Source organism: Homo sapiens, chromosome 1 (assembly GCF_000001405.40).
Source record: "Homo sapiens chromosome 1, GRCh38.p14 Primary Assembly".
Lineage (NCBI taxonomy): Eukaryota > Metazoa > Chordata > Mammalia > Primates > Hominidae > Homo > Homo sapiens.
This window is the reverse complement of record NC_000001.11, coordinates 183,051,519-183,075,165: the sequence shown is the minus strand read 5'-3', so window position 1 is coordinate 183,075,165 and position 23,647 is coordinate 183,051,519. Positions and strand designations below refer to the sequence as shown.

General features: G+C 39.3%; 1 protein-coding gene across 1 annotated transcript in view, besides 4 other annotated features; it reads right to left on the bottom strand.

Annotated features, from left to right (window-relative positions):
* The window catches only part of LAMC1 (laminin subunit gamma 1), a 122,173-nt gene that overhangs the window by 70,427 nt on the left and 28,099 nt on the right, over positions 1–23,647 (bottom strand). The gene's annotated exons all lie outside the window — the stretch shown is intronic.
* Positions 618–912: a silencer, noted in NCBI's record as "tiled region #7713; HepG2 Repressive non-DNase unmatched - State 7:EnhWF". NCBI's record gives its function as "represses a minimal TATA promoter and a strong SV40 promoter by Sharpr-MPRA in HepG2 cells {active_cell/tissue: HepG2}" and the evidence as "EXISTENCE:reporter gene assay evidence [ECO:0000049][PMID:27701403]".
* Positions 4,237–4,286: an enhancer, noted in NCBI's record as "active region_2210". NCBI's record gives its function as "activates an Ori minimal core promoter by ATAC-STARR-seq in GM12878 lymphoblastoid cells {active_cell/tissue: GM12878}" and the evidence as "EXISTENCE:reporter gene assay evidence [ECO:0000049][PMID:35858748]".
* Positions 4,297–4,366: an enhancer, noted in NCBI's record as "active region_2209". NCBI's record gives its function as "activates an Ori minimal core promoter by ATAC-STARR-seq in GM12878 lymphoblastoid cells {active_cell/tissue: GM12878}" and the evidence as "EXISTENCE:reporter gene assay evidence [ECO:0000049][PMID:35858748]".
* Positions 14,522–14,571: a silencer, noted in NCBI's record as "silent region_1627". NCBI's record gives its function as "represses an Ori minimal core promoter by ATAC-STARR-seq in GM12878 lymphoblastoid cells {active_cell/tissue: GM12878}" and the evidence as "EXISTENCE:reporter gene assay evidence [ECO:0000049][PMID:35858748]".

Genomic DNA, 23,647 nt, shown 5'->3' with positions numbered 1-23,647 from the left:
CAACAGGAGTAACACCCTGTCTCGAAAAAAAAAAAAAAAGCCCACATCAGACAGAACTCTGAGGTAACCCTTTTCTTTTTCATTCTTGCTCAAATGTATCTATAATTTTAATAATCTATCTTGGAAAATACTTTCCGTTAGACAAGAAAAATATAAGCAGTGGGCAAATCTTGTTTCAGTATAATTCTTTTAGTCTTAAGTGGGATTGAGGTTGTGTCTGAATTTGGGAGGAAGTAAAAACTAAATGAGATGAAGGCCAATATATATACCCAAGGTAGATAAATGGAAGAGGTTTCCGTTATGTCTATTCAGTTACCTAGTATTCAGGTAAAGTTTCATTTTTCTTTTTTGCAGCACTAAATAAAAAATTTCCAAGATTTTAAAAATAGACTCCAGTAATTCACAGTAAGATTGGGGATTAAAGGTATAAAACTAACAGATCAGAATGAAAAAGATAACTTTTTCTAACTCATAAAATGTCAAAAATCTCCCATAATAGAATAAAGAGAAAAGGTCTAGCTCTTCCTTCAGTAAGTACTTAGCCTCCTCTTCCTTTATAAAACCTGCAACTCAGGCTCAATATTACTGTACAATTATGTTCATACAGAAAATGTCTTCTCTTCCCCAGGTCCTTACAGACTGCAGCCTTTCACATGCTGACAGTGCCAGCTTTAGACCAGGACCCTGTCAAGAGTGGCAGAACACTTAGTAAACCACTACTAAGTGGCTTTATTGCTTTTGTCTTCTATTCATGTCCAAGGGTGCACACACTGTACGGTAAACTTTTATGATGTATTTTTTAGATAACAGCACTTATTTTACACATGCACATGTCACTCTTAGATTCCAAATACTCAGCATTTCCTGAGTTGTACGTCCCTAAAACTCAAGAGAATAAAAAGTGCTATTAAATTCACTGTTTTTTTGTATAAAAATACTCTATGAACAGAAACTTGTGAATACTTGGTGGCACTAACCTGTCAGTCTGTAAAAGATACATATGACTAATGTTACTATGTATTCCATTTGAATAATTGCATAATTTCATTTTTTTAGAACAGAAAAATAAAGAATATTTTCCATTTCACTTTATGAAGCTAGTATAACTTTGATACCAAATCAGATAAGGGAAAAAGGAGTAAGAAAAATTATAGGTCAACATGTGTAAATCCTGCAAATTAAACCCAGCAATGGATTTTTTTAGTTCCAGAATTACAAGGTTGTTTTCTAATCTATGTAATCTATGCCACTTTTTTGTTGTTTCCAGTGGCCTGATCTTCAAACTTGTCCTTTTTTCTGTTAAGCATACTAAACACAGCTGTAATTTCTATACCTGAAATTTGGGTATCTGCTTCTCTTGTCTATTATTTTGCTAGGTTTTCTTTCATTTATAGCCCTATTTTTTAATGTGCCTAACCATCTTTGACTATGTGCTGGACACTGTATTTTAAAACAGACATACACATATATATGAGTACTTTGAGGCCTAGTATCTTGCTCCAAAACAATGTTCACTTGCTTATACCAGACACCTGGGAGTAACACCAAACTGGCTTGACCTTAACACAAGTTCAAGGCTTGAGTGCCCACTGGGTTACCTAGGTGATGCAAAGCTGGCTCCAACTCTACTCACAGAATGGTGTATTTCTGTTTTCCCTTTACACAGATGATAAAAGCTTTTTAGAGAACAAGCTCAAAGGTTTGGGAGGTTATCAGACCACATATCTTTGAAAGGCCCTGAACTCTGACTCTGTCTCCCCATAAGCCTGCCAAAACCTTTGTTTTTATAGCTATTTCTTTCAGATTGGAAAAGGCATTTAAGGCTTACTTCTGTGGTTCCTAACTTCTCCTAGGTTTACATCCAGAAATCCCTACCTATTTTGTTAGCTGAGATTTTTTTCTTGTCCCACAGACAGACCATTCTAAAAAACCTAGCTGAATATCACCAGAGACAGAAGTAAATCCTCTCCAGCAACATATAGAAGTAAATTTAAAAAGCAAAACTTAAGTCTTAATGCTACTAAAACACCAAGCAATGATGTTACAATGATGTCCAGCTGACTCTGTCCTTTAATCCAGCAGTCCCCAACCTTTTTGGCACCAGGAACCGGTTTCAGGATGATTCAAGCACATTACATTTATTGTGCACTTTATTTCTATTATTATTACATTTGTAATATATAATGAAATAATTATGCAACTAACCATAAAGTAGAATCAGTGGGAGCCCTGAGCTTGTTTTCCTGCAACTAGACGGCCCCATCTGGGGGCAATGGGAGACAGTGACAGATCATCAGGCATTAGATTCTCATAAAGAGCACGCAACCTAGATCCCTCACATGCACATTTCACAACAGGGTTCATGCTCCTATGAGAATCTAATGCTGCAGCTGACCTGACAGAAGGCAGAGCTCAGGCCATAAGGCAAGCAACGGGGAGTGGCTATAAATACAAATAAAGCTTCGCTCGCTTGCCTGCTGCTCCCCTCCTGCTGTGCAGCCCAGTTCCTAACAGGCCACAGACTGGTACCGGTTCGTGGCCCAGGGGTTGGGGACCCCTGTTTTAACCTGCAATACCCAAAAGACATTCATTAATCACACCTCAATAGTCTCTCACAGCTCCCAGTAACAGCAACTTGGAAAAAGTCTCTTCCACCATTTCCCAGCTTCAATTGAGGCATTCGTTCTAGAAGTGACCACACCCATAAAGAAGGGTCTTTGCAAACGGAATACAATGTTGAAAATCTGAGGAAAGAGGGCTCTCTATGAAGCTGGCCTCTAAGGAAGCAGACAGATACATAAGTCAGACAGGACCCTTGGAGTTTAAGATATTCAAAGAGCTGTCTGCAGACCCTGCAACGAACACTTGAATTAAATGTCCCCATGCCTCATCGTCTTTGGAATGTGTTGTAACAAGATTTCATCCATACTCAGAAGCTCACTATGGTCACATTATGACAAACAGTGCCTCCAAATAGCAGACTTAAAAGAATTCAGAAAGTCAAACTACCTATGTGCTATTATTTGTTCTTAGCTCCAAATCAAACAGTTCCTTTAATTTTCAAAAGGTAACTTTTAAAATATGTTTCACAAGGCATAAAAATTCCCCATGTTCACCCAGATATGTGAACCATGACTAGGACCAATTAGCTTCTACTCTAAATACAATTTTTACTGCTCATGGTACTTGTATTTCTATAACATAACACTGCATTAGAGAATACAGAATCATTGTTTCAGAAGTTGACATCTGCAAACCTCTGGTCTCAACATTTTCGTCAACTGGACAGAATATAACCTTGTTTTCCATGTGTTTTGCCTGAACAAAGCTTACCCATCACATGCACCTTCTCCCTAAGGCACACACCTTCTTGTGTTTGGGAACTTAAGACGGCACTTCAGCACTATGCTTGAGGGTCATGTTAGGCAGTGAAATCACCAATAAAAAGGACAGAAATGGGGAAAATACGGCATTAAATAGGCTAAGAAAGTGATATTTATTTACAGCAGTGCAGCTGAAACAAGAAGGCAGAACATCACCTCCTTTTACTTCAGCTGAGCTGTGTGTGTTTCAGGGACTCAAATTTTTCACTGCTCTGCAGATGTCCCAAATGACCACAAACTACCATAAAGATTGATTTCTGTGGTTTCAAAGCTTAGCAAGCAGGCAAACATGCAAATATCAAACCTCCAAATAATGAGGCCGGAATGTAGAGTCACACATGAACCTCAAAGAGCTGTAGACTTGTCTTCCCAGGGCCCAGAAAAACAAAGACAGTACTATGCTTGCTATTATTCTGAATTACAGCTGTATCTGGACACAGCTTCAATTTTCAAGTGAGAAACTCCACAGGGTAATAGCTACAGAACACAGCATCAAGTATTTTCCTCCACCCACGTGTAGACAAAACATCCATACAGGCACAATCCCAAGTTACTCATTGTCTTCCTTTCTGCATCAATCACCAATTTCCTAAGTTGTCAACACACACACAAACACACACATACACACCAAGTTTCATATAGAGAGATGCTTCCTGGATCAGTCTTTAATGGGACTCAAAAAAAAAAAAACAAAAACAAAAAAAACCCAGCTTCCTGACATATAAAACATGATTTCCTAAACAGCAATCTTTAAAAGTGATGTTACTTTGTATAGCGACACAGCAGGTGGCAGGCTGTGATGAAACAGGAAATGAGAACAAATGTCTCCCACACACTCTTGCAGACCACCACAGGGAATACATCAGCACACAATCCTTCATATTTATCATCCAACCAACCATCGTCTGTAGGATTTCTCTTCTTTGAACTCATCCCTACCCACTGCTCAGTTACCCTTACCACCTGTCCAACAATTCTTTCCATATCAACAGAAGAAATTTGCCGAGGTTGACATTACAAGGGGAACTGAGAACTCCCATTTAAGATTTTGAGGAAGACCCTACTGAATTCAAGCAGGAAAAAAAAAATCCCTAAATTAAAGTTTATTTTCTCCTTAAGCCCCAAATAAAAAATATGAGTAAAGTTTTCCTAATTATTAACTAGATACAGCATTTATTCCATTTCTAGTTAAAAAATCTAATAGGAGCTCTTATCTCACCACCCTAGACATTAAATACAAATGGTAGTATATCCTTCAAATCACGGCCCAGATGACAAAGGAAGAACACACAGACATTACCATCACCCACAAAACTGGAAGTATCCCAGGAACATCTGGGCATCCACAAGGCATCCCAGTCATCCAACCTCTGTGACAGGCCAGAGAGATGCCTAAAGAGCCAGGACAGCAGAAGAGGTTCAGCTCTGAACCCCCAACAGAAGCACTAGTTGGTCCCTGTCCCTTTACTTAAAATCATAGCTATTCTAAAGATGGAAGGAATAGAGGAGTTCTCAAGCCTAACTACCTTGTTTATAGGTGAGGAAACAGGCCCAGAGACTAAATAATTTGCAAATATAACTAGTGAATCACAGATTGAACTTTATGACTAGGTATTTACCTTATAAAAGGGCTATGGAAGAATGATTTACTAGGCAATTATGATCAAGTCTAAGAATCTCTTACCTAATTCCACGCACATGCCACAATCTAGCCCATTCATTCATCTGTCCACTCACTCAATCTTTGAGTAATCATTTATGAAGAGACTGTGTGCCGGGCACTGTGCCATCTCAAACTACTTAAAATTATTCAACCGGGCCATTCTTTTTTCAGGCTTGGTGCCTTTGTCCACACTATCTACCTGGAATGCCCTCCCTATCTCTTTCAACACCCACTCCTACTTCAATGATGGTCCACTGGTGCTGGCTACCTGGAGAAGCATTCTAAAAACAGGCTCCTCAGAAAGCAGCACAAGATCAGCAAAGAGACCTGCCAGGGCCAGGGAGGTGCAAGGAGCACCCAGCTCTCCCCTCAGACTCAGCCGATGCTCCTTACTGCTGTTACCACACAACTGTGACATACCAGATGGTCTGGGCTGTATTTCTTTAAGTTGGGGGACTGACTGCATTACATTTCTAACTCCCAAAACAATCTGGTTGGATGCTACAAGAAGGAGGCATTCCCTGACACACTGGACACCCAGACCTCTCTTCAGGCTTTCTGTTTAACTTACCTTTCTCTCCCACAACAAATCCCACTGAAACAACAGAATAAATAGTATAATATACACCTCCAACTAGACTGTAATCTCCTTGAGGATAATGACTTAACTTTTACCTTTCCTGGATCTCCCAGTGCACAGACATAGGACATTACATTTTTTTAATAATTAAGTTTTACATATATTGATGAATAGCTAATCATTTCTCTAGGTTTTACATATATTGATGAACAGCTACTCATCTGTCTAACTTTAAACATGCATTAGCACAACAGTGATAATGAAACTCCCTATTTATTGTTCCCAGACATACACAAGGCTGTTTTGAAAATATGGCAAGAAACAAGTTAAAATGCTTATATGCCATATAAATGGACCCAGAGTCCTGACAATGAACCTAAAACCATTCACTGAGTTCAGATGTTGTTGTAATACACAATATAGCAGGTACAGTAGAGAGTCTGTAATATGAAGTTACATATTGAATTTTAAAACATATACTCCAGGCAGAATTCAACAGTGGAAAACTGTCTCCCACAAAACAAGTCCCTGGTGCCAAAAAGGTTGGGGACCACTGATATAAAGTATATACCTGTGTCACTTTTCTTTCTTTTTTTTTTGAGATGGAGTCTCGCTCTGTTGCCAGGCTGGAGTGCAGTGGCGCGATCTCGGCTCACTGCAACCTTCGCCTCCTGGGTTCAAGCGATTCTCCTGCCTCAGCCTCCCAAGTAGCTGGGACTACAGGCGCCCGCCACCATGCCCGGCTAATTTTTTGTGTTTTTAGTAGCAATGGGGTTTCACCATGTTAGCCAGGATGGTCTCAATCTCCTGACCTCATGGATCCACCCACCTCAGCCTTCCAAAGTGCTGGGATTACAGGCATGAGCTACCGTGCCCAGCCCATGTGTCACTTTTCTAAAAACCTAAAAAAGTCATGAATTGTGAAACACCTCTTGCCTTGAGTGCTGGATATGCAATTAGAGACCTGCAATAATTTGATATCTACTTCATAGAGTTCTTGTGAGGAAAATGAGCATAAAATATGCTTACACATAGTAGGTCCTCATTCAGTGGCTGCTGCTAACTTTCTTAACTAATTTGAAGAACATTAATATCCCTAAACCTTTCTGGTTTGGTTTTCTTCTTCATGCTCACCTAAATAATTAGTAATTTGCTTAGCACAACAAATGAGTACTAGCTTACTGTTTCTTACCTTAGACTGTAATATCCTATGCACTTGAAAATAATTAGTTTACATTTCAAATTCATTTCAGCATTGAGATTGTGTGTATTCTTTACACACACACATACACACACAAAAAAAAACAATACAAAATGGATAACCCATTAACATGTTACATCATCTCAGGCAATAAGATTGTAACAAAGGCCTTTTTTAAAAAAAAGAAATCCATTTTCAATTTGGTACTAAGAAACTCAGTACTACCAGATCCTTTTGATCTAGCCCCTAAGCCTCAGTAGGTCACTCACTAGGAAACAGGCCCTAAGCTCAACTCCCATTATGCTTTGGGAAGCTTGGGTTAATGGACTCCAATCCACTTATTTTCTGGGAGATTTATCCGAAGCCAACAACTATAAATGGTTAAGTCTCTTTTCACCATTCATTTTATTACAGAAGCACCCATGTGAAGCCCTCTAATAATAGATTTTCCAAAGTCCTTTCTGCTATCATGATACTCCCAATACTACAAATATTAAGGTCAATACTGACAAGCCAAAAATAAAAAAATTTTTAAATATATTGACAAGTGGCCAGGCGTGGTGGCTCACATCTGTAATCCCAGTACTTTGGGAGGCCAAGGCAGGTGGATAACGAGGTCAGGAGTTTGACACCAGCCTGGCCAATACAGTAAAACCCTATCTCTACTAAAACTACAAAAAAAAATAGCTGGATGTGGTGGCGTGCGCTTGTAGTCCCAGCTACTCAGGAGGCTGAGGCAGGAGAATTACTTGAACCTGGGAGGCAGAGGTTGCAGTGAGCCAAGATCCTGCCACTGCACTCCAGCCTGGGTGACAGAGCGAGACTCCGTCTCTCAAAAACAACAACAACAACAACAACAACAAAAATATATATGTATATCTATATATATAAGTACAGAACAGCCAATAGGAAACTACTACTGCCAACAAAGAAATGCAAAAAATACAATTTGCAGTTGTGTGGTCAACTTTAGGAGACACACTCATCGTTTTATTAAATTAAAATGAGTGCTTTAAAAATGCAATGACAAAAAAAGAATTCTAAACAAAACTGAAAAATTGTACAGATGAAAGATTTTTTTTAATTTCTGAAAAAAATCCCAGAGCTACTCAATAAATCATCAATAGTTAGACAAAGTCCTAGATTTAAAATCTGTAAGAATATGACTACTTTAAAGCTTTTCTAGAAAATATTGTTCCTTTTTAACAAACCCTGGTATCAAAACAAGAAATTAACCTTATAATGCACTCTTAGAATGTAATTAACTGTAATGCATAACTTCAGAAAAGCTATATACCAATGACTAAAACACAATAAACCAAACTTATTGGCCCAAGCTCTGTGGCAGATGCTTTTCTTTACATTTTTTTTTAAATTATACTTTAAGTTCTCAGATACATGTGCAGAATGTGCAGGTTTGTTACATAGGTACACAACATGTGCATGGTGGTTTGCTGCACCCATTAACCCATCAACCTGTCATCTACATTAGGTATTTCTCCTAATGCTATCCCTTCCCTAGCCCCCAACCCCCTGAAAGGCCCCAGTATGTGATGTTCCCCTCCCTGTGTCCATGTGTTCTCATTGTTCAACTCCCACTTATGAGTGAGAACATGCAGTGTTTGGTTTTCTGTTCCTGTGTTAGTTTGCTGAGAATGATGCTTTCCAGCTTCATCCATGTCCCTGCAAATGACATGAACTCATCCTTTTTTATGGCTGCATAGTATTCCATGGTGTTTATGTGCCACATTTCCTTTATCCAGTCTATCACTGACGGACATTTGGGTTGGTTCCAAGTCCTTGCTATTGTGAACAGTGCTGCAATAAACGTATGTGTGCATGTGTCTTTATAGTAGAATGATTTATAATCCTTTGGGTATATACCCAGTAATGGGATTGCTGAGTCAAATGGTATTTCTGGTTCTAGATCCTTGAGGAATCACCACACTGTCTTCCACAATGGTTGAACTAATTTACACTCCCATCAACAGTGTAAAAGCATTCCTATTTCCCCACATCCTCTCCAGCATGGCAGATGCTTTTCAGGATACCTCAGTTAACCTTCGTCCAACCCTCTGATGGCATAATGTCAATTGTCTCTTTTAGTTGTTCAATTACAACATTCTTAGAAAAAAGAACTCTAAAGTTGAGAATGCTAGATTTTGATTCAATTTTTCCCACAAACTACAGAAAGTACAGTACACTTGGTAAAAGGATATAGTTTAAAAGATATAAAGGGAAATAAAAAACTTTGTAATATAAACCTAAGCTTATAATGATAATCACTATGACAATAATGCGTTATCATGTATTAAATGCCACTATATGCCAGTCACTTCAGTGGGAGTTTTACAAGCATTCTCTCGCTTATTAAAGTAGCTTGATAAAGTAATACCTTATTTTATTAACATGGAAATTGAGACTCAAGTTCAAGAAACCTGACCAAAGTCACACAAACTGTAAATGGCATAGCTGGAATTTATTTGAACCCAAATCACCCAGCTGCAAATCACTGGCTCTTTCAATACCATTTGCCTCTCAAAGTAAACAACTACTTGTCATTCTTCTCAGAGCTCCAGACTTCCAAAGACATATTCACACTGAATCAAACTTAATTTTAAAATATTAATGTTTCAAAAATTATAATCAAAAATATACACGTGACAATTAATCTCATGTGTCATCTTGGCTAGGCTACGGTATCCAGCTGCTTGATCAAACACCAGTCTAGCCATTGCTTTTAAAGCATTTTTAGATGTGATTAACCTATTTAAATCAGTAGGCTCTGAGTAAAACAAATCCATAATATGGGTGGGCCTCATCCAATGTGTCATAGGCCTTAATAGCAGACTTAAGTTCCAGAAGAAGGAATTCTGCTTCCAAACTGCAACCTAGAAATTCTGGTTGAGTTTCCAGCTTTTGGACTCAAGATTGCAACATCAATTCTTATCCAAATTTGCAGCCTGCTGGCCTGCCCCACAGATTTTGGACTTGCCAGCCCCTACAATCACATAAGTCAATTACTTAAATCTCTTTCTATATATATACAGTCTCTGTCTCCCTCGCTATACATACAGTCATGCACTGCATAACAATGTTTCAGTCAAAGACGAACCACATATAAGATGGTGTTCCTATAAATTATAGTACCGTATTTTTACCGTACCTTTTCCTATCTTTTGGCATGTTTAGATACACAAATACAGCAGGTCCTTAAGTAGTGTCATTTTGTTCAACATTGTTTCATTCAACACTGTTCAGTTATAATGCTGATAAGAAAAAAAAAAATCAGTTCCCAGCCAGGGCCACTGTCTTTGTGGAGTTTGCACATTTTCCCCATGTGCACATCCCAAATATGTGCACTTTAGGTTAACTGGCATGTCTAGATGGTTCCAGTCTGAGTGAGCGTGGGTGTGTGTGAGTGCACCCTGCAGTGGAATGGCATCCTAGCAAAGTTGGTTCCTGAGCTGCTGGGATAGGCTCCAGCCACATATGACCCTAAACTAGAATAAGTCAGAAAATGAATACAAATTATTGTCAACTACAAATTCATTGAATAAACAGTAATCATATAAATGTATCATAATGAACGATACAGTACAAAAGTATGTGGTGACCTGCCATATTTGTTATTTTGTTTTGGTTTTTTGGTTTGTTTTTTAATTATATGGTAACAGGAGGTGCCCCTTACAATTTTTGCTTTACAAACTTCATTCCTTGATTTAACCCAACACCACTACGGCCACTGTTACTCATTGATTCACCAAAAATTGGGTAAAAATTGTCTTACTTGTTTTTATTAATCTTTTAAAAATATACATATAACTCATGCTTATTTCAAAGTTTAGTTTTAGAAGTGTTTATGTTTGGTTATGTTTTTGTGACCAGAAGCATATTGAAGCCAGTAAGTAAGGACTTACTATACTTACCAATGTGTTACAATGGCCTCCAGTATTCAATACAGTCACATGCTATACAGGTTTATAGCCTAGGACCAATAGGCCATCCCGTATGGCCTAGGTATGTAGTAGGCCCATACCATCGAAGTTTGTCTAAGTTCACCCTATGACATTCACACAATGACAAAATCACCTAACGAGCATTTCTCAGAACGTACTCCATTGTTAAGTAATGCATGACTATATATACATATATATAGAAGCACTTACATCATTACTGCCCTGTACCATGCTCCAATGCCAGAGAAAGCCTAAACACATCTGCCTGGCTGGTGCCTGTACTTGGTCATAGTTTAAGAGTCAATTCTACAATAATAAAGTTTACCCACTTTGCTTCACAATACCTAATACAGATTTCAAATTTCAGGTCTTTTTTATACTTAAAGCCTGTCAATAAAAATTTAAGTAATTTGTCATTCAAAGTAAATTATCATAACACAGAATGAACTACGTGCGAGGTAAACATTATCCAAAGGCAATGGAGGGATCCGTATCAATTACGATGGATGAGCAAGGTATTACAAAAATAAAATTAATAAAATTAAGAGCATTATCCTCACAAAACCACCTGGGGAAGATTTCAAGCAAAAGCACCCTCTGTATTTGATAAGTTCATCCGATGTATGAATTTGACTAAACTCTTTATAATGATTCAAATGGAATTGATGAGACAGATGTGTCTCTGTCTTCCTGTGTTTGTTTTTGTTTCTGCAGAAAAAATACATGGAAGATTTATAAGACATTACAGTGTACTGTTTAAAGCAATGATAGGAGAGAGCAGGAGAATAGCATGGCCCCTACAAAAGCAACTGCTGACACATGTTCTAGTGGTCAGTTAGAAACATCAGATGTCAGCATCTTCCAAATAGTAACAGACAACGCCATTTAGGCTGTCATTTTCACTAAGGTACCTTGGAAGTTCTCACTACCAGGGTATGTATACCCAATACATTACAACTCCAACTTCTAACTTATTTTCATTTGCTTTGTGGCAATGTGCAGATCTGAGTATTTCTAATGAGGTGTTTTAAAAATAAATCACTTTGGTTGATAAATTATGTCAATTAGCTCTGAAATAAAACTCATATGCATGAACTTGCCTATCTTGCTGAACAAGCTCCCATCTTACTACACTAAGGACTGCAGAAAAGTGTTCATTTAGACTCAACATGTAAAACAAAAGAAATTTGACTATTCTGGAACTTTGAGTAAAAAGCTGACAGCCTTTTTTGACTGTTCAAAGTAACATCTTAAAATATTACAAGGTACATTCAAAAACTGTTTTTCTGCCAAACAATGAATTTAATATTGGATGTGGAGGCATTCACTAACTCCCTTCCTGCCCTCAAAATGTACTTAACTGATAACTACTGTGGATGTCACTAAATATGATTAGTAATACTACTTTTTTTTATTATTATTTTTTGATACTGAGTCTTGCTCTATCTGCCCAGGCTGGAGTGCAGTGGTGTGATGCTGACTCACTGCAACTCTGCCTCCTGGGTTCAAACAATTCTTGAGCCTCATCCACCCAAGTAGCTGGGATTACAGGCATGCACCACCAAGCACAGCTAATTTTTTTGTGTTTTTAGTAGAGATGGGGTTTCGCCATATTGCCCAGGCAGGTCTCAAACTCCTGGCCTCAAATGATCTGCCCACCTCAGCCTCCCAAAGTGCTAGGATTACAGGCGTGAGCCACTGCACCCGGCCAGTAAATAAAAGTTTTTTATTTTTTTAGACAGAGTCTCGCTCTGTCACCCAGGCTGGAGCGTAGTGGTGCAATTCTGGCTCACTCCACCTCCTGGGTTCAAGTGATCCTCATGCCACAGCCTCCCGAGTAGCTGAGACTACAGGCACGCCCCACCACGCCCAGATAATTTTTATATTTTTAGTAGAGAAGGGGTTTTGCCATGTTGGCCAGGTGGTCTCGAACTCCTGACCTTAGGTGATCCATGCACCTCACCTAATACAACTTTAAAACAAAATTTCCTCCTATTTCTCAAGTTTTCTGCACCCATATAATCAAATGCTGCCCTGAAACTACAAGACAAACTATTTAAAAAGCTATTAAAGTTCCACATTGTAATTTTTATCATGTTCTGACAAGAAAATAGTATTGATGCAGCAAAAAAGCTATTAGAATCTTCGTATCTTTGAAACTTTGAACTTTTTTAATTTTGCAAACAAAATATATAGAAATAAGTTTTAAGATGAAACCAAGTGAAGATTGAAACATAGATTTCCACCTTAAATTTAACGTACCAAATACAATAAACGTATATAACTGAACACTATTCTTACCTGTTTTATATATTGGGAGTCTGATTTCATGGGATAAAGGATTCTGTTACTAAGAAGATCTGAGAACTGCTGTATGCAAACGTGCAGAGTCAACTGGCACTATAGTCAGAAAAAGACATAGGCTTCCTTCTCTGCCATGTCCCAATGACGTACAGTGAGAATTTAATTGCCCAAAGTCTTAATTGCCTTACTAGATTATTAATATTTACTTTATCAGGTATTATGAGCATTCAATATAAATGATGTCTGTGAAGCCCAAGACTGGACAGAATAGGCACTCATTAGTTATTCTCTTCTTATATGGCCTTACATGTGTGTATTCACCTCAACATTAAATGAAAATAAGAGACAGAATGTATTAACTAGAATCATTTAAATTTCAATGTACAAATTCACAGAGCAAAACTGATTTCTGATTAGAATTCCTTTTGACATTTTTCATAATCTATGAACAAAAGAACTTACAGTAATATCTCAAAGTAACATAAAACTTAAAAGATATAAGCACTTTTTAAAAAAGAAAAAAAGATATAGATGTTGTTTTCCAAAAAGCACTATCAACAACAACCATAACAAAATGTCAGGAAACCATGTTATAATGAGACTATAGGAACATCTTGTAAATGCCAAAGAATACTGACAAATTATTTCCCAACTTTCCTTCTGGGCTCACAGTCCTATACAGATGAGCCTAGGGGAAGAAAAAAAAAACACCAACCAAAAAATCTAAAGACAAAAATTAAAACTGAAAGAACTGTTCCTCTGACAAATCAGAGTAGAAAGTTCAGGATTTAGGCAGAGTTTTCACACACTAATAACCAAAGACTAAAATGGAAAGGACTTTATTTTTGAAGGGAGTATGGGGGCTGGGAACCTTGGCACACCAAAATGTGAGATATCTAAAAGTGAACTGGTTTGCCAGAGTTTTTGTGGTTTGCTGTTTTCAGTGTCTCTCCTTTTGCCTTTCTGATCGACATCACCCTAGTCCTATCCCTCATTAACTCACATCTGGATTGCTACAATAACTTAACCTACTACCATTATACTAATTTTCCTGCAACTCTGCTATCTAACCATGTCACTTCTGACAAAAAAACTAAAATGGCTACCCTTCCTAACACATCTCAATTGGTCAGCTTCATATTCAAAGCCTTTCATGAAGTGATCATATCTTCCTATCTCTATTTTACACAAACCTACTTCTCAACACGATATTTTCTCAAACTGTCTCATTCTTGCCATCACAATAGCACTGATTTTGCATCCATATTTTGCTCATACTGTTATATCAACTTAAGATAACTTCTCTACTTCTGCTTTTCACCCATTCATTCGGTCATATAAGCATCTAATAAGTGCCTACTGTGTGTCTGGCATCAACTTAGTGCTAAGAATACAAACATGATTAAGATCTAGCTCTTGTCCCCAGGGAATGTAATGATAATTATGAGTCAGACATGTAAACAAATCGTTAGGACACAGTGTAGTAAGCACTGTAATATTGTGTACAGGGTACTATGGAAACACAATAGGCGTAGTGAGTCACTGCAAGAGAAAGTAAGACATGAGGAGAGCCTGGTCCAAGAGACTGCACAGTAGAAATAAAGTTTGAATTGAGTCTTAAAGGATGGCAAATGCAGGACAGAGGGACAGGGTAAAGGGGTAATTGCTTTTTTTTTTTTTTTCTTTTTTGAGATGGGGTCTTGCTATGTAGCCCAGGCTGGCCTTGAACTCCTGGGCTCAAGCAATCCTCCTGCCTCAGCCTCCTGAGTAGCTGGAACTATTGGTGCATGCCATACTACTTAAGATGAAAATGAAAATGCATGTCATGTTCCAGGAACTGCCAGAGATACAGCACAAATGGATTGCAAGGAGCAAGTGGGAAAGGCACATTCACAAGGACTTAAAAGTCTAGCTACATGATGAGGGGCCAAGGGTGATTTCTAAGCAGACAGTGAGTGGCATGATCAGATGTGAGGTTTCTAAAGGCTTGCTTTGAAAGGACTCTCCTTTCAAAATCAACAGAGCCCTCCCTACTATCACAATCCTCACGTTTCCTTCCTTGCTCCCCTTCCCACTTCAGGTACCAGAACAATAACAGCTGCCATCATGGAACATGTGATGTCCCCTACACAGTGCCAGAAACTTCCAACGTGTCATCTCATTTAATCTTTACAACATCTCTATAATCAAGGAACCTACAGTCAGAGAAATTAAATTTCTTACTCTGATGCACGTAGTTTGTAAGTGGTAAATGAAATCCAAACCTAACTAACTTCAGATTCTGTGGTTTCCTACGAATATGCCACACACGATCCCAGCCTGAACTGCACTCTCCTCACCCTCTCACTATTCCACGTTTGTGTCCCCTCTGTTTTACCTATCTTATAATTTGCTCCGAGACCCAGTTCAATGTCCTGAGTGGCCACAAATTAGTTGTGGACTTACACTGAGCAAGTCACTTACCTTGGCTAGTTCCTTCACTGAAATTAGGTGGCCACTCAGATCATTTCCATTATCTCCTGTCACACAATCTGGGTTAGTTATTTTTATTATTGGGCCAGAGTTTTGCTCCTGTTGCCCATACTGGAGTAGAATGGCATGATCTTGGCTTACTGCAACCTCCACCTCCTGGGTTCAAGCAATTCTCCTGCCTCAGCCTTCCATGTAGCTGGGATTACAGAGTTATTAATACAAACCACAAATGCTGGTATATAACAGGGCAAGTGGGCTTATCCAGTCTGGGATGCCAAGTTCCACCATGATGTAATGTATTAATAACCCATCCATCAATATGTATTCAGAACATCTCTCAAACCAGGAAGCTGAGCCTGAGTTAATAACAGCATCAACAATGAAGCTTCTCCCTTATCTCTGAGTAGGTTTCTTATTTTGCTAATACAGCCTCCTCAAAGCATGGATGTTCTGCCTGTGAAGACCTGAGCTAGAGGCCACTTCACTACCAGATGAGTCTAAGAAAATACACACGCACTAGGCTGCAGGGAACACAATAGAAGCAACTGCCTATGCATAACAAAAACAGAGCCTGTCATATCATAGTCATCTTGCAAGAAAATCTTCTGTGAGACGTTTTTTCCCAAGGGGAGAAAATTTTACATGTTATAAAACAGAACAACATATAGATATTACCTTCCTTGAAGAGCCCTTGCTGCTTTGATTGCAGCTGACAGGCTTTTCCTTTAAAATACATGTAAACATGTAGGTAGCTTTTTGTTGGTGGCTTTTTGTGAATTTTTTTCTACCCCATTAATCACCTTCTTTCATGCTCCAGGGAAACCAAGTAGGTGGGCAAAAATTCCTGGATGTTTTTGGGAAGGTACTCACACCCACACCCACAGACAGAAGAAATATTTCAAGTCTACATAAACAGTCTTAGGAGATAATTTGGGTAACAAGAAACATTAGTATAAGTAAAGACAAAATATTTACATATTGAGACATAAGAAGACATTACAGAAAAATGGGAACCGTGTATAAGAACTAAAAAACTTAAACCTGAATCCTTTAAGATGTGTTTTCACACACCAGACTCCCAAATCACCAAATCCATCATTCTTCATTTCAGTGAGTATTTGCTGGAGACAGAAAACAATATGAATCTCTATTATCAAATAACTGTCTAGAAGAAACAAAACCAGACTTAAATATACACCTGCCAAGCAAATTGAAATAACCATAGATGGGTCTTTATCACAAAAAGCAATGATTTCAAGAAGCAGACACATATAAAGATGTACAAAATGCAAAGCATTGTAAAATTCAGTCACCCTCAATATCCTTATGTTACAGGTATGAAATAGAACAACTGACCAAAAACTAGCATCCACTCAACTACACAAGTCAGCAGGCTTAAGATAAAATCCTTAAATTGCCTCTAAGTACACTTCCAAGAACTTACTACATTTAGAACAGAAATGAAGTAGCCAATAGAGACGAACTTTTAGAAAACTACATCATAGACAAAAAATAAATATGAAAGAGAACCTCTTTTTAGAAGGATCAAATATACTCAATGACATAAACTGATGGTTTATTTTTAAAAAGAGATGAAGTCTGCTATTATCTGTCAAACAAGAGCAAATCCTTCTAAAGAGGACTTCCAATTGTGATTCAATTCCTTATGCATTGAACTGCACATAAAAATATATAATATGTTTAGTTAGAGCACATAATATTTATGTAAGAAGGAAAAAAAGAACATCTCAATAGAGATTAAATGAGCATGATATATATGACATATATTTTCAACTTCCCAACCCTTCAGGCTTAGGCTACAGTTTGACAGCTGTCAAAAAAAAAAGTATGACAGAGTCTTGCTCTGTCACCCAGGCTGGAGTGGAGTGGTGTGATCTTGGCTCACTGTAACCTCCCCGGGCTCAAGCAATTCTCCTGCCTCAGCCTCCTGAGTAGCTGGGATTACAGGCGCCCACCATCATGCCCGGCTAATTTTTGTATTTTTAGTGGAGACGGGGTTTCACCATGCTGGCCAACCTGGTCTCAAACTCCTGACCCCAGGTAATCCACCCACCTCGGGCTCCCAAAATGCGGAGATTACAGGCGTAAGCCACGGCACCCGGCCAGCTGTCAAACTTTTAAAATAAATTTCTATATGGTTTGGGATAGTCAGGAAGTTTTCAGAGAGTCAGGCAACCTAGTGAAACGAGAGACTGGCCTGCCTCATGAAATCTGCTTACCCATCAAAGATAGCAAAGGGAGTGGTAAGGAATGAGGGCTGACCAAATAAAGTCCCTCACCACATCCAGAAAGCTGTGAAACAGACATCATTGTGCCTTTGAAATATAAACGAATATACCTTCCACTACTAAATACCTTTTCTTGGAGAGGGTACAGGAGAGAACAAGGTAAGAACACCAATCTGTGTTTCTCTGAATCTGTTTCCTTTTAGTTCTTGTGGGGAAACAACACTTTAGAAAGCTCAAGAATCTCAATACGGATTGCATTTTCCTTATCCTTACAGCTTTTTAACAGCCCAAGTAGGCCCTGAAAGCGCAGACTCTTTTATGAAGCTCACAGTCCTCAAAGCTTTGCACACAGGAGATGCTTAGTAAATGTATGTTTATTAATTCATGTGTTACAATTTTAAAGAAAAGAGAATTACTCATATAGTATACCTACCAACTAAAGTAAAATAAAGCATACACCTTCTGAGCAGAGTACAAACCCAGAAGCAGCTCTCTGTCCCATGAAGTACAAGTCTGCATACATAATCTCCTATTTCCAGGTTTTGGTGTTTATTGTGGTGTTTGTTGTTTTACAGGCTTAAAAACAGAAACGGTACATAGGGTGGTGGAGAAAGCTCTAGTCTAGAAATGGGAAACCTGATCTTAAGCAATTGCTATCTCCCTGGACCTCAGCTTCCTCACCTGTATAATGAGCGTGGTCGACTAAATGACTTCCAAGGTCTACGAGGTCCCTTTATGCCCCCTCATGGACTAGTTAAGTGCCAAACAGGTATTACTGGAGAAATTCAGGACAGATCAATGAATTGGTGAACGGGGGGATGGGGGGAGGAGGGTGGAAGAACTCTTCAAGGATGAAGATGGCTCAGGTCAGGCCTTGAAAGACAGTGGGACGTGACTGGTGGATAATAAACACACCAGATTTGGTAAGGTCATACAGGGAAGAAACAGAAACTGGGAGCAAGAGGAGCCCATATATGGCAAGCGTCAAGTATCAGAGAAAATGAAAAGGAAGCAGAGGGTGGATCGACCATGGGGTGGGTGCTGCACTGGCTGCTCTATGTTCACCATTCTATTTAAACCTTACAATCCCATAAGGGAAACACTATGGCTCACTTTTAATACCTGAGGAAATTATGGAACTTTATATCCAAGGAGGCCTGACACATGGCAGCAGGCAGCTGAAGCATGGCTGGCCTGAGATCCATCTGCCTCCACAGCCCATGCTCTAACCACTGCACCACACTGCCCTTTCAGCAGCACTGGGCAGCAGCAGAGGGGACTGGGCCAGTTCTACTCCATCTTTACTAAAGAAAGAGGACTGAAATATAAAAATATAAAAATGCCACTTGATTCTTATTCCATACACAAGACACTTTTTAATCCAACAGTAACTCTATAATCTCTCTCTTCCAAAAGGTGTCCCCAGCTACACCCTCAATTTTATTAAGCTCATGAAAAATAATCATCAATTGTATGCTTGCTTTGCACCAAACACCACATAAACACTATTAATGCCTTTATTTCTTTTTTTTTTCTTTTTTTTGAGACGGAGTCTCCCTCTGTTGCCCAGGCTGAAGTGCAGTGGTGTGATCTCAGTTCACTGCAATCTCTGCCTCCCAGGTTCAAGCGATTATCCTGCCTCAGCCTCCCGAGTAGCTGCAACTACAGGTGCACGACACCATGCCCATCTCATTTTTGTATTTTTAGTACAGATGGGGTTTCACCATGTTGGCCAGGATGGTCTCAATCTCTTGACCTTGTGATCTGCCCGCCTTGGCCTCTCAAGATGCTGGGATTACAGGCATGAGCCACTGCACCCGGCCTAATGCCTTTATTTCATTTAATCCTCACATCAATCCTATAAAGTAGGTTTTTTTTTTTACACAATAGGGTATATTTTTACCCTAACTTTTTTTACAAATGAGAAAACTGAGGCTTCAAGAGGCTAAATTAGTCACCCTAAGCAGGTATCAAGTTCATAGCTGAGTCAATCCCTAGTAAGTGGTTATAAACATCTATCGCCACATTTCACACACTAGGAAGAGAAATGATAAAGAAAGGATGTGTCCGGGCGCGGTGGCTCATACCTGTAATCCCAGCACTTCCGGAGGCCAAGGCAGGTGGATCACCTGAGGTCAGGAGTTCGAGACCAGCCTGGCCAACATGGTGAAACCCCGTCTCTGCTAAAAATACAAAAAATTAGCCAGGCGCGGTGGCAGGCACCTGTAATCCCAGCTACTCGGGAGGCTGAGGCAGGAGAATCGCTTGAACCCGGGAGGTGGAGGTTGCAGTGAGCCGAGATTGCGTCACTGCACTCCAGCCTAGGCAACAAGAGCGAAACTCCATCTCAAAAAAAAAAAAAAAAAGATGCACAAAGTTCTCACTAATCAAAGGAATAAGATGGCAGAAGAAAAGGCAACACAATAGAGCACCAAGAACAAGGAATCCTGATACCATGAGGAACCACTGGCTTCCTGGCCTGCTCCTCTTCAGTAGAAGAAGGGGTCAAGTGGGAAAAGCCCCTAAGGCTCTAAGGTGGCTGTGGTCCTAGAAGTCTATGAATAATCAATGGCTTCCCTCTTAATCAAAGCCAAATGCTCCACATTGAGTTTTGTAGTCTCCAAGCCAGGAACTGTGTCTAGCATAAAGTAGACACTAAAGAAATAAAATGTCCTGTTTTTCACCTAAGTAAACTTCAGGCTGAGAAGCGACCTTGCAATATACGGGGTGGGTTAATCTTGAAACCCTAAGCAATCAGTTCATTAAAATGTCAAAAGACCTTATTTACCCCTGCTTTCTTCTCAATATAACAGAATATCAGTATCCTAGGGGCTGTGTTATAGTATCGTTGCCATTAGAATACTGGAAATGACCCCAAAATTTAGGAAAGAGTAACAAGTGATACCAGTCCCCAGAAGTTAAGGTTACAGCCACGTTGTATAGAAGGCATTTTATTCTGAGGCAGAGCACAGTGTGATTCAGAGAACAGCCTCTATAACCAGACCCTAGAGTGCACAGCCTGAATCCTCACAAATAGCTGTGTGGCTTCTATGCCTCGGCTTCCTCCTCCGTAAACTGGGAGAGTGCTCCATCCGCACTGGGTTGTGCTGAGGATTAAATTAATCTAAGAAAAGCACTCAACACCATGCATAGCACATAGTAGTTAATAAATGTTAGCTATTAAGTGCTGATATTAATGATGCTAGCCTTACAAATGCACCTGAAAATCAATGACTTTAAAATGAAATTGGAGGTGGCAGAACTATTCAGAACAACAAATCAACCCACCTCAATAGGCAGTACTGCTTGTTGAGAGAACATTCTGCAAAACACTAGTGATGACACTTAGAAAATAAAAAGCAACATTTGAGCAAAGACTATAGATTTCACCTATCTTAACACTTTTTCCCAATAATAAAACCTATCTTTGGCCAGGAGCAGTGGCTCACACCTGTAATCCTAGCACTTTGGGAGGCCGAGGCGGGTGGATTGCCTGAGCTCAGGAGTTTGAGACCAGCCTGGGCAACATGGTAAAACCCCGTCTCTACTAAAATACAAAAAATTAGCCAGGCATGATGGTGTGCGCCTGTAATCCCAGCTACTCAAGAGGCTGAAGCACAAGAATCGTTTGAGCCCAGGAGATGGAGGTTGCAGTGAGCCAAGTTCGTGCCACTGCACTCCAGCCTGGGCAACAGAGCAAGACTCTGTCAAAAAAAAAAAACCAAAACTATCTTTCATTATGAATGTTTTGGATTATACAAGATCTTCACAAAATGTAAATGTTCTGATCAGATTCAGCCACCAATGCAGTCTAAGAACACCAATTCTCTCAGGAGAGCTGATGAGACTCAGAATCAGACCCTTACCATTCAAGCAACTATTATGTAACTCAATACTTTTCAAACAACCCATTAGTTTGAAATGAAAAAAAAAAACACACACAAAAAACAGATCCAGATGAGCATTTTTAAAAAAGAATTAGAAGTGAATAGAAAATATCAGAGTATGATACAGGAAATAATGGTTAGACTTGCTTTGATAAACCTGTTTCAGCTATATGTACTGACTAGGTGGCAATACAAAATATATTTCTTATAATGGCTATAGTCGAAAATATCTGGGGAAAATATGATCTATTAAATATGGACACGGAAACCAAGTTTTTCAGCAAACTTTTCAAGTTTTTACATTTAACGCACTGGAAAACCCTAACAAGGGATTTGATTTATAGCATTTTTGTCCCATAAATTCAAACAAATAAATTCAGAATGACGGATCTCTCCCTCCTTGGACAGGAAACAGAAGTACAGAGAACTCCAACCAACACTAGGAAGAACAGAGTAATCGTTGTTTACATCTCTTCCCTCATTTACCTGTGTTTGGATAAGGAAACCCACATACCCTTAAGACAATAATTCTTTAAGTTCCCATTCTCTATGCACATCAATCCTAGAGAACATTAGTGTAGCTTTTTTCAGTAAGGGAGAAGAAAATGGAAATAAAGGGTTTTATTTAACCCAAATAATTTGATGAACACTCTTAAGCATTATGACTGAATAGAACCTTCTTTATTCTCAAGTTGCTTATAATTTACTAAGTGATATATTATTATAAGACACACACCCAAAAACCCAAGCAGGCTGTGCTTAAGGTGAGGGAGAGGAAGGGACATGAGCAGGAGGGATAAAGAGATGAAAATGTAAGAAAAAGAAAGTTAAGTGGCTGAGCATGGTGGCTCACACCTGTAATCCCAGCACTTTGGAAGGCTGAGGCAGGCGGATTACCTGAGGTCAGGAGTTAAGAGACCAGCCTGGCCAACATGGTGAAACTCCACCTCTACTAAAAATATAAAAATTAGCTGGGCGTGGTGGCGCATGCCTGTAATCCCAGCTACTCGGGAGGCTGAAGCATGAGAACTGCTTGAACCCAGGAGGCAGAGGTTGCATTGAGCCGAGATCATGCCACTGCACTCAGCCTGGGCGACAGAGTGAGACTGTGTCAAAAAAAAAAGAAAAGAAAGAACAAAAGAAAGATAGATAGATTAGCCTTTTAGTATGACCAGAATATCAATTAGCAGAGTTTGGGAGAGATGGGAAGAGGAATGGAAAGTAGGGTAATTGTGAAAGACAGAACAGAAAGAAAAAGGGATGAGAACACAAAAATGGATAGGTAGCTAGCCAACACATGCAACAAAACAGGGGAAGCAGAAGTGATGGTTACTCTTGGATACGCAGTGCAGAGCACCTTGAGTTGCAATCAGGGGGCTGTATGTTTTGACAGGTAACAAAAGGAATGATTTTTTTATCAGATGAACAAGCAGAAACCAATGAAAGGAATGATTTTTTATCAGAGAAATAAGCAGAAACCAAGAATATGAACATAGCTTGTTTTCCTACTGTTACATTTATGGCTCTCCTGGAGAACACCCTGAAGATGGATCCCTGCACCTGTCTTCCCTTCATTAGACACACAAGGATACTGACCAGAAGACAGTCTGCTCTCTCAGACACAAGATCCCTGTGATAACTTGGTTTGAAATTTCTGCCAGGCTTCAGTTAGAACTCAGAAATGCATAGCCTCGGGATATTTCTGGCTCCTCTCCCATGGCTCTCTAGTTAAAGCCAAAGAAAAGTGTAACTTCCTCTGGGTGTCTACAGGTTCTTCTAAGCAACCATTCCAGGAAGGAAAAAAGGCTGATTCCCCTTGGGAAGAGCAGCATAGGCACTCCAACTCAATAATCCCAGAGACTCAGTAAGTGTTCCAGTTATCTACTGCTGCACAACAAGCTACTCCAAAGCTCAGTGGCTTAAAACAACCACCATTTTTATCTCATGAT